Below are 12592 nucleotides of genomic sequence, written 5' to 3'. Positions count from 1 at the left end.
CTAGAATTAGATAATAGTGATGGTTGCACAACATTATGAAAATACCAAAAACCACTGAACTGTACACTTTAAAATTGTTAAAATGGTGAATTTTATATTATGTGACAATTTTGTAAAAGAATTCTATATCCAATGAAAATATTCTTCAAGAATGAGAGGGAAATAAAGGCGTTCTCAAGTGAAAAATCAAGAGAATTTGTCATTAGTAGACTTGTTGTAAAATAAATACTAAAGAAAGTTCTTCAAACGGAAGAAAGAGGATACCTGAAAGAAATTTAGAACATCAAGAATGAAGACAGAGAAACAAAAATGGTAAAAATCTGGTTAAATATAATAGACTATTTTTATCTTAAATTCTTTATAATATGTATATGTTGGGGCTCAGAAAACAACACCTCAAAAGTATGGCGCTTTGGTATGCTGAACACTTTGAACTAAAATAGAAAGGACTTAGAAGCTACCTCAGAATAAGGCCTTTCTGGCCTCATCTGTTTCTATCGCCTAGAGACTTCTAGAGACTTCTGGAGTCTCTATCCCCCTAGAGACTTCCCCTAGAATTTCCTTATCTGACTAAGGAAACTTCTTTCCAAAAGAAATGCAATTGTCTTAAGATCCCCTTCCTAGGAATCTCATCAAATAATCAGAAAAGATTAACCACCAGAGAAGAATGGAGACTAAAGTCAGATGACTCTTCATCTAGTCCTCTGAGGCAGTGCCAAGAGATAACCTGGGAGGCTTTATCTACCAGGTTAAGTTTCACCCCTCACCTTCCGGTAACTTGCTGGCGTCGTTTAGTTTCCTAGGAGAATCATTTACAAGATAATGTCTGAGCCTCCTGGGCCCATTCATTTCCCCTAAAAATCATTAACAACCCCTGCATTTTCCCCATCTCCCTCTTCCCTATGAAGCAGATATATAAGCCTCAATCATCTGGCCCTTTGGGTCTCATATTTAATATTGTACCCATGTTTTTGTATGTTAATAAATTTATATGCCTTTTTCTCCTATTAATCTGTGTATTGTCAGTCATTTTAGCAAATCTTTTTTTTTTTTTTTTTTTTTTTTTTTTGAGATGGAGTCTCGCTCTGTCACCCAGGCTGGAATGCAGTTGGGCAATCCTGGCTCACTGCAACCTCTGCCTCCCAGGTTCAAGCAATCCTCCTGTCTCAGCCTCCTGAGTAGCTGGGATTACAGGTGCATGCCGCCACACTCAGCTAATTTTTTGTATTTTAGTAGAGACAGGGTTTCCGCGTGTTGCTCAGGCTGGTCTCTAACTCCTGAGCTCAGGTAATCCACCCACCTCAGCCTCCCAAAGTGCTAGGAGCTAGGATTTCAGGCGTGAGCCACCGCGCACAGCCTTTAGCAAATCTTTAGAGAGAACAAAAGGGAAGCTTTCCCTCTGCCCCTGCGTATGACAATTGAAAGAAAAATTACATCATGAGACCTTAAAAGCACAGGCAACCAAAGCAAAAATGGACAAGTGGGATCACATCAAGCTAAAGTTTCTGCACAGCAAAGGAAACAATGAAGAGAAAAGGAAACTAAGTGAAGAAACAACCCACAGAATGAGAGAAAATATTTGCGAACTACCCATCTGAAAAAGAATTAATAACCAGACTATATAAGGAGCTCAAACAACTCCACTGGAGAAAAACAATCCAATTTTAGAATGAGCTAAAGATATGAATAGACACTTCTCAAATGTATGACCAACAGGCATAAGAAAAAATGCTCAACATCACTAATCATCAGAGAAATGCAAATCAGAACTACAGTAAGATATCATCTCACCCCAGTTAAAATGGCTTTTATCCAAAAGACAGGCAATAATGAATGCTGGCAAGGACATGGAGAAAGGGGAACCCTCCTACACTGTTGGTAGAAATATAAACTAGTACAGCCACCCTGGAGAATAGTATGGAGGCTCCTCAAAAAACTGAAAGTAGAACTACCATATGATTCAGCAATCTTATTGCTGAGCATCTATCCAAAAGACATGAAGTCAGTATATGGAAGAGATATCTGCATTCCCATGGTTATTGCAGCACTACTCACAATAGCCAAGATATGGAAGCAAATTAAATGTCCATCAACAGATAAATAGATAAAGAAAATGTGGGCTGGGCATGGTGGCTCATGCCTGTAATCCCAGCACTTTGGGAGGTTAAGGAGGATCACTTGAGGTCAGGAGTTTGAGACCAGCCTGGCCAATATGGTGAAACCCCATCTCTACTAAAAATACAAAAATTAGCTGGGTGTGGTGACACATGCCTGTAATCCCAGCTACTCAGGAGGCTAAGGCAAGAGAATCACTTGAACCTGGGAGGCAGAGGTTGCAGTAAACCAACATCATGCCACAGCACTCCAACCTGGGCAACAGAGAAAGAAAATGTGGCACAAATATACAATTGAATATTATTTAGCAATAAAAAATGAAATCTTAGGCCAGGCGTGGTGGCCCATGCCTGCAATCCCAGCACTTTGGGAGGCCGAGGTGGGTGGATCATGAGGTCAGGAGTTCAACACCAGCCTGGCCAAGATGGTGAAACCCCATCTCTACTAAAAATACAAAAATTAGCCAGGCGTGGCGGCAGGTTCCTGTAATCCCAGCTACTCAGGAGGCTGAGGCAGGAGAATCACGTGACCCAGGAGGCGGAGGTAGCAGTGAGCAGAGATTGCGCCACTGCACTACAGCCTGGGAGACAGAGCAAGACTCTTTCTCCAAAAAAGAAGAAATCTTGTCATTTTCAACAACATGGATGAAACTGGAAGACAACATGTTAAGTGAAATAAGCCAGGCACAGAAAGACAAATACCACATGTTCTCATATATAAGAAGTTAAAAAAAAAACAAAAAACCTGAGTGAATGGAGATAGAGGATGAAAGGATAATGGGAAGTGGGAGATAAAGCAGAGATGGTTAATGGGTACAAAAATACAGTTGGAGAGAATGAATAAGATCAAGTATTTGGTAGCACAATAGGGCAATGGGGTGACTCTAGTTAACAATTTATTGTATATTCTTAAATAACTAAAAGAGTGAAATTGGAGTTTCTAACAAAAAGAATGAAAAAGTCTTGAGAGGATGGATACCCCATTTACCCTGATTTGATCATTATACATTGTATGCCTGTATGAAAACGTTACATGTAGGCTGGGCACAGTGGCTCATGCCTGTAATCCCAGCACCTTAGGAGGCCAAGGCAGGGGGATCACCTGAGGCCAGGAGTTCAAGACCAGCCTGGACAACATAGTGACACAGTGTCTCTACAAAAAATGTTAAAAATTAGCCAGCCTGGTGTGATAACATGAGCCTATTGTCCCAGGTACTTGGAAGGCTGAGGCAGGAGGATCAATGAAGCCCAGAAGTTTAAGGCTGCAGTGAGTTGTGATCGTGCCACTGCACTTCAGCCTGGGCAACAGAGCAAGACCCTATCTCTACAAAAAAAGTACTCCATAAATATATACAACTACTATGTACCTGTAATAATTAAAAATAAAATTTTAAAAATTATATCATGGCCAGGCGCGGTGGCTCACACCTATATTCCCAGCACTTTGGGAGGCTGAGAATCACTTGAGCCTAGGAGTTTGAGACAAGCCTGGGCAACATGGAGAGACCGTCTCTACAAAAATAAAATTGTTTTAATTAGCTGGGTTTGGTGGTGCATACCTGTTAATCTCAGCTACTTGGGAGGCTGAGATGGGAGGATCACTTTAGCCTCAAAGGTAGAGGCTGCAGTGAGTCATGACTGCACCACTGCACTCCAGCCTGGATGACAGAGCAAGAGCCTGTCTCAAAAAAAAAAAAAAAATTATCTCATGGTTTAAAGAGTTTTTGATGTATGTAAATATAATATAGTTAACAACTACAAGCAGAAAGGGGGAGGGTAAAGAAACCCACGTGGTGGTAAGGTTCCTACATTCCACATGGAGTGGTAAAATATGAATTCTAAGTAGACTATGAAATATTAGGTATATATATCATAATATTATAGAACAATCTATTTAAAAAAAATTTTTTTTTGAGACAGAGTCTCACTCTGTTGCCCAGGCTGGAGTGCAGTGGCATGATCTCAGCTCACCGAAACCTCTGCCTCCTGAGTTCAAGAGATTCTCATGCCTCAGCCTCCTGAGTAGCTGGGACTACAGGCGCGTGCTACCAGGCCTGGCTAATTTTTGTATTTTTTAGTAGAGACAGGGTTTTGCTATGTTGGCCAGGCTGGTCTCAAACTCCTGGCCTCAAGCGATCCACCCGCCTTGGCCTCCCAAAATGCTGGGATTACAGGTGTGAGCCACCACCACCCAGCCAAAAAAAAAGTTAAACTATACAATGGAAGATGTGGTTAAAACTCAACAGATAGCCAGGTGCGGTGGCTCATACCTGTAATCCCAGGACTTTGGTAGGCCAAGGCGGGTGGGTAGTTTGAGCCCAGGAATTCCAGACCAGCCTGGGCAACATGGTGAAACCCCATCTCTAATACTATTGGCCGGGTGCGGTGGCTTACGCCTGTAATCCCAGCACTTTGGGAGGCTGAGGCAGGAGGATCACGAGGTCAGGAGATTGAGACCATCCTAGCTAAAATGGTGAAACCCCGTCTCTAATAAAAATACAAAAATTGGCCGGGCGTGGTGGCGGGCGCCTGTAGTCCCAGCTACTTGTAAGGCTGAGGCAGGAGAATGGCATGAACCCGGGAGGCGGAGCTTGCAGTGAGCTGAGATCATGCCACTGCACTCCAGCCTGGGCAACAGAGCAAGATTCTGTCTCAAAAAAAAAAAAAAAAAAAAAAAAAACTAAACATTAGCCAAGTGTAGTGGTGTGGGCCTGTAGTCCCAGCTGCTCAGTAGGCTGAGGGGGGTGAATCACCTTAGCCTGGGAAGTGGAGGCTGTGGTGAGCTTTGATCATGCCACTGCACTCCAGCCTGGGCAATGGGAGTAAGACCTTGTCTCAAAGGAGAAAAAAAAAAAAAGATAAATTAAAATGAAATACAAAAAAAAAAAAAAATCAAATAATCCAAAAGAAGGCAAGAAAGAGGAAACAGGAATTTTAAAAACAGAACAAACAGAAACCAAATACTAAAAAGGGAGACCTAATTTCAAACATATTGATATTTACATGAAATAAAGTGATCCAAAAGAGATTATCAGATTGGATTTTTTTTTTTTTTTTGAGACAGAGTTTTGCTCTTGTTACCCAGGCTGGAGTGCAATGACGCAATCTCTGCTCACCACAACTTCCGCCTCCCAGGTTCAAGTGATTCTCCTGCCTCAGCCTCCCGAGTAGCTGGGATTACAGGATGCACCACCACGCCCAGCTAATTCTTGTATTTTTAGTAGAGACGGGGTTTCTCCACATTGGTCAGGTTGGTCTCGAACTCCCGACCTCAAGTGATCCACCCACCTTGGCCTCCCAAAGTGCTGGGATTACAGGTACGAGCCACTGCACCTGGCCCAGAGTGGATTTTAAAGCAAACAAAAACAGACCCAACTATTTACCATCTACAATTTTATAATACAAGTAGGTTAAAAATAAAACAATGGGAAAAGATATACCATGCAAGCGCTAATCAAAAGAAAGTCGAAGTGCCTATATTAATATTAGACAAAAGAGACTTCAGAGCAAAGATAATTTCCAGAGATAAAGAGAGGCAATACATAATAATAAAAGAGTCAGCCCAGTGGGGCCCAGTGGCTCACACCTGTAATCCCAGCACTTTGGGAGGCCAAGATGGGTGGATCACTTGAGGTCAGGAGTTCAAGACCAGTCTGGCCAACATGGTGAAACCCTGTCTCTACTAAAAATACAAAAATTAGCAAGGCGAAGTGGTGTGTGCAGGTAATCCTAGCTACTCAGGAGGCTGAGGCAGAAGAATTGCTTGAACCCAAGAAGCAGAGGTTGCAGTGAGCTGAGATAGCACCACTGCACTCCAGCCTGGGCAACAGAGTGGGACTCTGTCTCAAATAAATAAATAAATAAAATAAAAATAAAAAATAAAAGAGTCAGCCAGGTGTGGTGGCTCACACCTGTAATCCCAGCACTTTGGGAGGCCTATGCAGGTGGGTGACCTGAGGTCAGGAGTTTGAGACCAGCCTGGCCAACATGGCGAAACCCCATCTCTACTAAAAATACAAAAATTAGCCAGGTGTGGTGGCAGGCACCTGTAATCCCAGCTACTTGGGAGACTGAGTCAGGAGAATTGCTTGAACCCAGGGGGCGGAGGTTGCAGTGAGCTGAGATCATGCCACTGAACTCCAGCCTGGGTGACAGAGTGAGACTCTGTCTCCAAAAAAAACAAAGTCCATTCCCCAAGAAGACATAACAATTTTAGATGTGTATGCACCTAACAAAAGAGCTTCAAAATACACACAGCAAAACCTGTTAGAATTGAAAGAACTGGACAAGTCCACAACTATAGTTAGAGATTTCAACATTCCTTTCTTAGTAACAGATAGGACAAGCCAACATAAAATCAGTAAATATAAAGAGTTGAACTATTTCATCTACCAACTGGATTCAATTGACATTTACAGAACACTACGCCCACCCAACAAGAACAGAATATACATTCTTCTGAAATGCACATTGTACATTCACTATGATAGATTATATCCAAGGTCATAAAACAAACCTTACTAAGTGCAATAGCCTTGAAATCATACAAAGTATGTTCTCAGATCATAATAAAATTAAATTAGCAATCAATAATGAAAAGATAACTGAAAAATCCCAAACACTTGGAAATTAAACAACATAATAATCTATATGTCAAAAAGAAAGTTTCAAGGGGAATTAGAAAATACTTTGAAGTGAATGAAAAATACAATATAAAATTTGTGGGATGCAGCTAAGGCAGTGCATAGAGGAAAATACATATTATTAAATGCTTATCTTAAAAGAAAAAATCTTAAATCAATATTATAAGTTTCCACATTGAGAAGCTAGAAAAACAAAACCAATATAAACTCAAAACAATCAGAAGGAAAGAATAAAAATAAGAGTGAAACCAATAAAATTAAAAACAAAAACAATGAAGAACATCAATAAAACCACAGCTACTTCTTTGAAAACATCCATAAAATTGATAATCCTCTAGCCAGATGAACCAAAAAAGTGGGGAAAGGGAAACATATTACCTGTATCTGGAACAAAAGAGAAGATATCACTACAGACACCACAGACATTTAAAGAATAATAAGAGAATACTACAAACACTCTACACAGATACAAATTTGATGACTTACATAAAATGAACCAATTTCTTGAAAGCGATAAAGCCAAAAAATTGAATTCATTTTAATGAACGGTTAAAATATTCTGATCATTTCTTGGGGTAATAGAATTGTTCTGCATCCTACTTGCTACAGTGGTGACATGAATCTAGATGTGCTAAAACTCAGAACTAGGCTGGGCGAGGTGGTTCACACCTGTAATCCCAGCACTTTGGGAGGCTGAAGCAGGTGGACTGCCTGAAGTCAGGAGCTCAAGACCAGCCTGGCCAACATGGTGAAACCTTTTCTCTCCTAAAAATACAAAAATTAGCCGGACTTGGGGTCATGCGCCTGTAATCCCAGCTAATCAGGAGTCTGAGGCAGGAGGATCCCTTGAACCCGGGAGGCAGAAATTGCAGTGAGACGAGATTGTGCACTCCAGCCTGGGCGACAAGAGCGAAACTCCATCTCAAAAACAAAATGAAACAAAACAAAACAAAACTCAGAGCTATACATATCCCCTCCTTTAAAAAGTCAATTTTACTGTTAATTTTTAAAATTTATAAAATCAATTAAGAAAAGGCCAAATCAATCAAGTGGACGCAAGTAAATAGGACATTTTCAGAAGAAACAAACAAAAATTGTAACAATATTCAACTGTCCTAGTAACCAGGAAATGCAATTAAAATAACAATAAGAAATTATTTCAGACACAAACATTAACAACAGCAAGTCTTGGGAAGATGTAGATTAACAAGACTTTCACATGCTGCTGGTAGAAGTACAACTGGTCAACCCCTTTGGAGTGGAATTTAATGAGATGAAGCTGAAAATGGGCCTGCCCTTCACCCCAGCAATGCCCCTTCTAAAACTTCTCTTAGGAGGCCAGGCATCGTGGCTCATACTTGTCATCCCAGAGCTCTGGGAGGCCAAGGCAGGAGGATACGTTGAGACCAGCCTGGGCAACACAGTAAGACCCCATCTCTACAAAAAATATTAATAACAAAAATAGGCAGAAGTGGTGGTGTGTGCCTGTAGTCCCACCTACTTGGGAGCTTGAGGTAGGTGGATCGCTTGAGCCCAAAAGTTTGAGGCTGCAGTGAGCTACGATCATGACACTGCACCCAAGCCTGGGCAACAGAGCAAGACCCTGTCTCAAAAAAAAAAAAAGAAATTCTCCTAAAAGCACAAAAAAGGATGTGCTCAAGAAAGTTCATTGCAGCATTGTCTGTAATAGCAAAATATTTTCAAAAACTAGGAAATTCAAACATCGTATATTATTCATACAATGGAATACTATATGGTAGTATTTTAAAGACATATAATATAATATTTTATGATATGATATGATATTTTATTTTATTTATTTTTGAGACAACCTCACTCTGTCACCCAAGCTGGAGTGCAGTGGTGCGATCTCAGCTCATTACAACCTCCGTCTCCCAGGTTCAAAAGATTCTCAGCCACCTGAGTAGCTGGGATTACAGGCACCTGCCACCACACCCGGCTAAGTTTTGTATTTTTAGTAGAGACAGGGTTTCCTCATGTTGGCCAGGCTGGTCTCTAACTCCTGGCTTCAAGTGATCCACCTGCCTCAGACTCCCAAAATGCTGGGATTACAGGCGCGAGCTGCTGCACCCAGCCTGACATGGTATTTCAAATAAATGAACTTAAAATTATGTGGAATTAACAAAGATAAAATCTCAAAAATATAATGTTAAATGTAAAAGCAACCTGTAAAAATGACACTAGTTATACAAATTTGAAAACATGTAAAACACTGTTACATATTGTTAGACATCTACAAATGCTTTAATAATATAAATACATGCCTGGAAAAGAGAAACCCGAATTCAGTCGTTGTCTCAGGGTGCAGTACACAAGGGGATTTCCATCGTATCTGTAACTTCTTTTCTTTTTAAGAAAAATGAAGTAAGCAAGGCAAAATACTGGAATTTAGTAGAGATGAATGGTGGATTCATGGACCTTCATGATGTTATTCTTTGCATTTTTCTTGGCATTTTTAACATTTCATAGTCAAAATAATCATTGCCTCTGTATACAAAAATATATCATAGTGGTTAAGAGCACTAACCATGAGCTCTGGAGCTGGAAAGCCTGAGTTTTTCTCCCATTTCTACTGCTCATTATCTGTGGGCTTTAGCAAATTACCTAACTTCTCTGAGCCTGTTTGCTTTTCTGTAAAATAAGGATAGCAACAGCACTTTCCTTATATTTTTATGAAGATTATATGAGTTAAAATGCAAGATGCTTAGTATTATATAATGCTGGGCACATAGCAAATACAAGTTTTAGGAATTTTTCTTAATTAATTTTTTTCTTTTCTTTTCTTTCTTATTTATTTATTTATTTATTTTTTGAGATATGGTCTCCCTCTGTCACCCAGGCTGGAGTGGAGTGGCACAATCATAGCTCACTGCAGCCTGGACCTCCTGGGCTCAAGCAATCCTCCCACCTCAGCTTCTGAGTAGCTGGGACTACAGAAGCCTGCCACCACACCCAGCTAGTTTTTTAATTTTTTGTAGAAAGGAGTCTCACTATGTTGCCCAGGATGGTCTGGAACTTATGGCCTCAAACAATCCTCCCACCTCAGCCTCCCACAGTGCTGGGATTGCAGGCATGAACTACTTACTGCACCGAAACTCTGCTGTCCACTCTGTGGTGGCTTCCCCAACACTGTCCCCGTGTCTAATTGGGCACCCCATCCTGAGTTTTTACCTTGCTTAGTGGGTAGCTTTCTTTCTTTCCTTTTTTTTTTTTTTTTTTTTTTTTTTTTTGATACGGAGTCTCACTCTGTCATCCAGGCTGGAGTGCAGTGGTGTGATCTCGGCTCACTACAACCTCCGTCTCCCGGGTTAAGCGATTCTCCTACCTCAGCCTCCCAAGTAGCTGGGATTACAGGCACCTGCCACACCCAGCTGATTTTTTTGTATTTTTAGTAGAAATGAGGTTTCACCATGTTTGTCAGGCTGGTCTCAAACTCCTGACCTCAGGTAATCCACCCCCCTCAGCCTCCCAAAGTGCTGGGATTACAGGTGTGAGCTGCTGCACCTGGTCCTTGACTATACTATTTTCTTATTTACCTTTGTATTCCAAATGTCTGGCAATGGTAGGAATATGAGTCATTACTAACAAACAAACAAATGAACAGGTGAATATCCCTTCTTTCCCCCAATAAACCTACCTGTGTTCTTTCTCCCCTTCCTCCTTCCTCTTCCCAAGGGCCCAGTACTCTAATAGACTGGCTTAAGTACCTCTAGTCATGGAAGATATACTTCGCAACACTCTTCTTGTATAATAAAAGAAACCCTTCTGTAGAAGTCACTCTTGAAACAAAAGAAAGAATCGCTAAGGGTGGAATCTTAGATCCTAAGGCACACCCCCCACTCCGCAGCTATTATCTCTCTCTGCTTAGTGCAGGACCATCTCAACAAATGAGAAACACTGGAAGATAATGTGGGAACAGAGTTCTCAGGGAAAACGCCGCGAGTGTTCTCTTGAAAAGTTGTATGTGAGACACATTTTTAAAAACACAAATCATATTCTGAATGAATAAAAGAATGTTTTTAATTTACTGGAGAAACTGGCTTGTTAAATCCTATTGTGAATTCTTTCTTAAAACCGGAGTAAGGAATTCTTTTGTTAAGTAAATATTCAAGCCCTTCCCTGCCAAAGGGCTTTTGAAATCTTTGCTGTAATGATGCTGATGTTTTCTGTGTTTATATGTCAAATGCCTGGAGCTTAATTGTTAATGGGTAAATAAGAGACGCCACTAGGTCCTTGCCAAGAAAGGCCCAATAGCTGAGGTTGGGAGAACAATGGCTCCACAGGACTCCCCCAGAGAGGGAAGAAGGGAGAGGACAGTTAGAGAAAGAGTGGCTCTATTCTCTTGTAGATGTGGCTGTTGGAGGAGCCAAGGAAGAGACCAACCTGGGGGATGAGAACACAGGCACGTGTGCTGGAGTGGACCTGAGCCTGAACAAAGGTATCGGGCACAGCTCTGGCTTTGCTTCATTTCTCCTTCTTGCCAGTTGATCAGGAATTCCTGCTGCTCTCCAGAAAACCATCAGAAGCATATGTTGCTGTTGGAATCACCACCCACCAGTGGGCAGAAGAAAGCTGGGGTCACAGGCTAATTTCCCCAGGCAGGTGGCCTGGGTTGAATTCCACGCCCGCCACTGTAGGCTAATCTGCCCCACTTTAGGCATGTTATTTAACCTCTGTCCTTGGAGTCCTATGCAGCAAAATGGGGATAAGAATGCCTACCCCATAAAAGGTTTTGTAAAAATTAATTAATATTGTAGAAAAATGCTTAGAACCGTGTCTGATGCATAGTACATGCTATGTGTGTTAAATATTTAACTGACAGTTAAGGCCAGACACATTGGCAAAGTAACCTTAAATCCAAAAACAGCAGACCAATTGTAAGGAAAGGGCTAACTGGAAATTTTTATAAGTCTGTTTGCTGAAGAAGCCTTTTCCAGATTTTTTTTTTTTTTTTTTTTTGAGACAGAGTCTCGCTCTGTTGCCCAGGCTGAAGTGCATGGTGCGATCTTGGCTCACTGCACCTCTGCCTCCTGGGTTCAAATGATTCTACTGCCTCAGCTTCCTGAGTAGCTGGGATTACAGGCACGCGCCACCACGCTGGGCTAATTTTTGTATTTTTAGTAGAGACAGGGGTTTCACTGTTGGTCAGGCTGGTCTCGAACTCCTGACCTCAGGTGATCCACCATCCTCAGCCTCCCAAAGTGCTGAGATTACAGGCGTGAGCCACTGCACCTGGCGCCTTTTCCAGATTTGAAGTTGCAGGGAGAGCTGAGGATATTCACAGGGCAAGGACTTGAGGCAGAGAGACGAAGACTCGGGTCTGCCAAAGCAAGGTCATTCCCTCTGGATTCTAGTTCTTCAGATGGATAGAATGAGGTCAAAGATAAAGCTCTCACCCAAGCAGGAGGAAAAAAACGCTCTCAAGGATTGCCAGACTCTAAAAGTTTCAGAGTTGAAAAGGGCATTTCAAGCTATAAGCAGCCAGCCAAGAGCTAGGCACAGGGTGTCTCAGTTCTTGGCATTGCTGGGCCAGCATCTATACTTAGGGAAAATCCACATGGAAGGACCCCTTCTCCTCTCTCCAGGAAAACACTCAGCTTAATGACAGCTGGGTCCAGAGCAGGGGCCTAGCAAGTCCTTGTCTGGGCCTCTGGTGCCGGAGTCAAAGGAGGTCCTGATCCAGCCTTGGGATTCCAGCAAGGACTTTACCCCATATTCAGGAGGGGAATCTACAGGTCTCCCTCAAAGACCCTCAGGACATTCTGTGGGCAGCCCCTCCACCATCTCCTCGCTGCTGTTCAAATTCTCACTTTT

At 41.8% G+C, this 12592-nt stretch overlaps 5 annotated features.

Annotated features, from left to right (window-relative positions):
• Positions 9271-10090: an enhancer, noted in NCBI's record as "H3K27ac-H3K4me1 hESC enhancer chr8:38389396-38390215 (GRCh37/hg19 assembly coordinates)". NCBI's record gives its function as "activates a minimal SCP1, AML or CMV promoter by ChIP-STARR-seq in naive H9 embryonic stem cells {active_cell/tissue: H9 hESC(naive)}" and the evidence as "EXISTENCE:reporter gene assay evidence [ECO:0000049][PMID:30033119]".
• Positions 10091-10911: an enhancer, noted in NCBI's record as "OCT4-NANOG-H3K27ac-H3K4me1 hESC enhancer chr8:38388575-38389395 (GRCh37/hg19 assembly coordinates)". NCBI's record gives its function as "activates a minimal SCP1, AML or CMV promoter by ChIP-STARR-seq in naive and primed H9 embryonic stem cells {active_cell/tissue: H9 hESC(naive and primed)}" and the evidence as "EXISTENCE:reporter gene assay evidence [ECO:0000049][PMID:30033119]".
• Positions 10463-10757: a silencer, noted in NCBI's record as "tiled region #511; HepG2 Repressive non-DNase unmatched - State 23:Low, and K562 Repressive non-DNase unmatched - State 22:ReprW". NCBI's record gives its function as "represses a minimal TATA promoter and a strong SV40 promoter by Sharpr-MPRA in HepG2 and K562 cells {active_cell/tissue: HepG2 | K562}" and the evidence as "EXISTENCE:reporter gene assay evidence [ECO:0000049][PMID:27701403]".
• Positions 10912-11732: an enhancer, noted in NCBI's record as "OCT4-NANOG-H3K27ac hESC enhancer chr8:38387754-38388574 (GRCh37/hg19 assembly coordinates)". NCBI's record gives its function as "activates a minimal SCP1, AML or CMV promoter by ChIP-STARR-seq in naive H9 embryonic stem cells {active_cell/tissue: H9 hESC(naive)}" and the evidence as "EXISTENCE:reporter gene assay evidence [ECO:0000049][PMID:30033119]".
• Positions 11733-12554: an enhancer, noted in NCBI's record as "OCT4-H3K27ac hESC enhancer chr8:38386932-38387753 (GRCh37/hg19 assembly coordinates)". NCBI's record gives its function as "activates a minimal SCP1, AML or CMV promoter by ChIP-STARR-seq in primed H9 embryonic stem cells {active_cell/tissue: H9 hESC(primed)}" and the evidence as "EXISTENCE:reporter gene assay evidence [ECO:0000049][PMID:30033119]".

The sequence above is a fragment of the Homo sapiens genome, chromosome 8, assembly GCF_000001405.40.
Source record: "Homo sapiens chromosome 8, GRCh38.p14 Primary Assembly".
Taxonomy (NCBI): Eukaryota; Metazoa; Chordata; class Mammalia; order Primates; family Hominidae; genus Homo; species Homo sapiens.
Note: the sequence above shows the minus strand (reverse complement) of the source record. Positions and strands in the feature narration are given on the sequence as shown.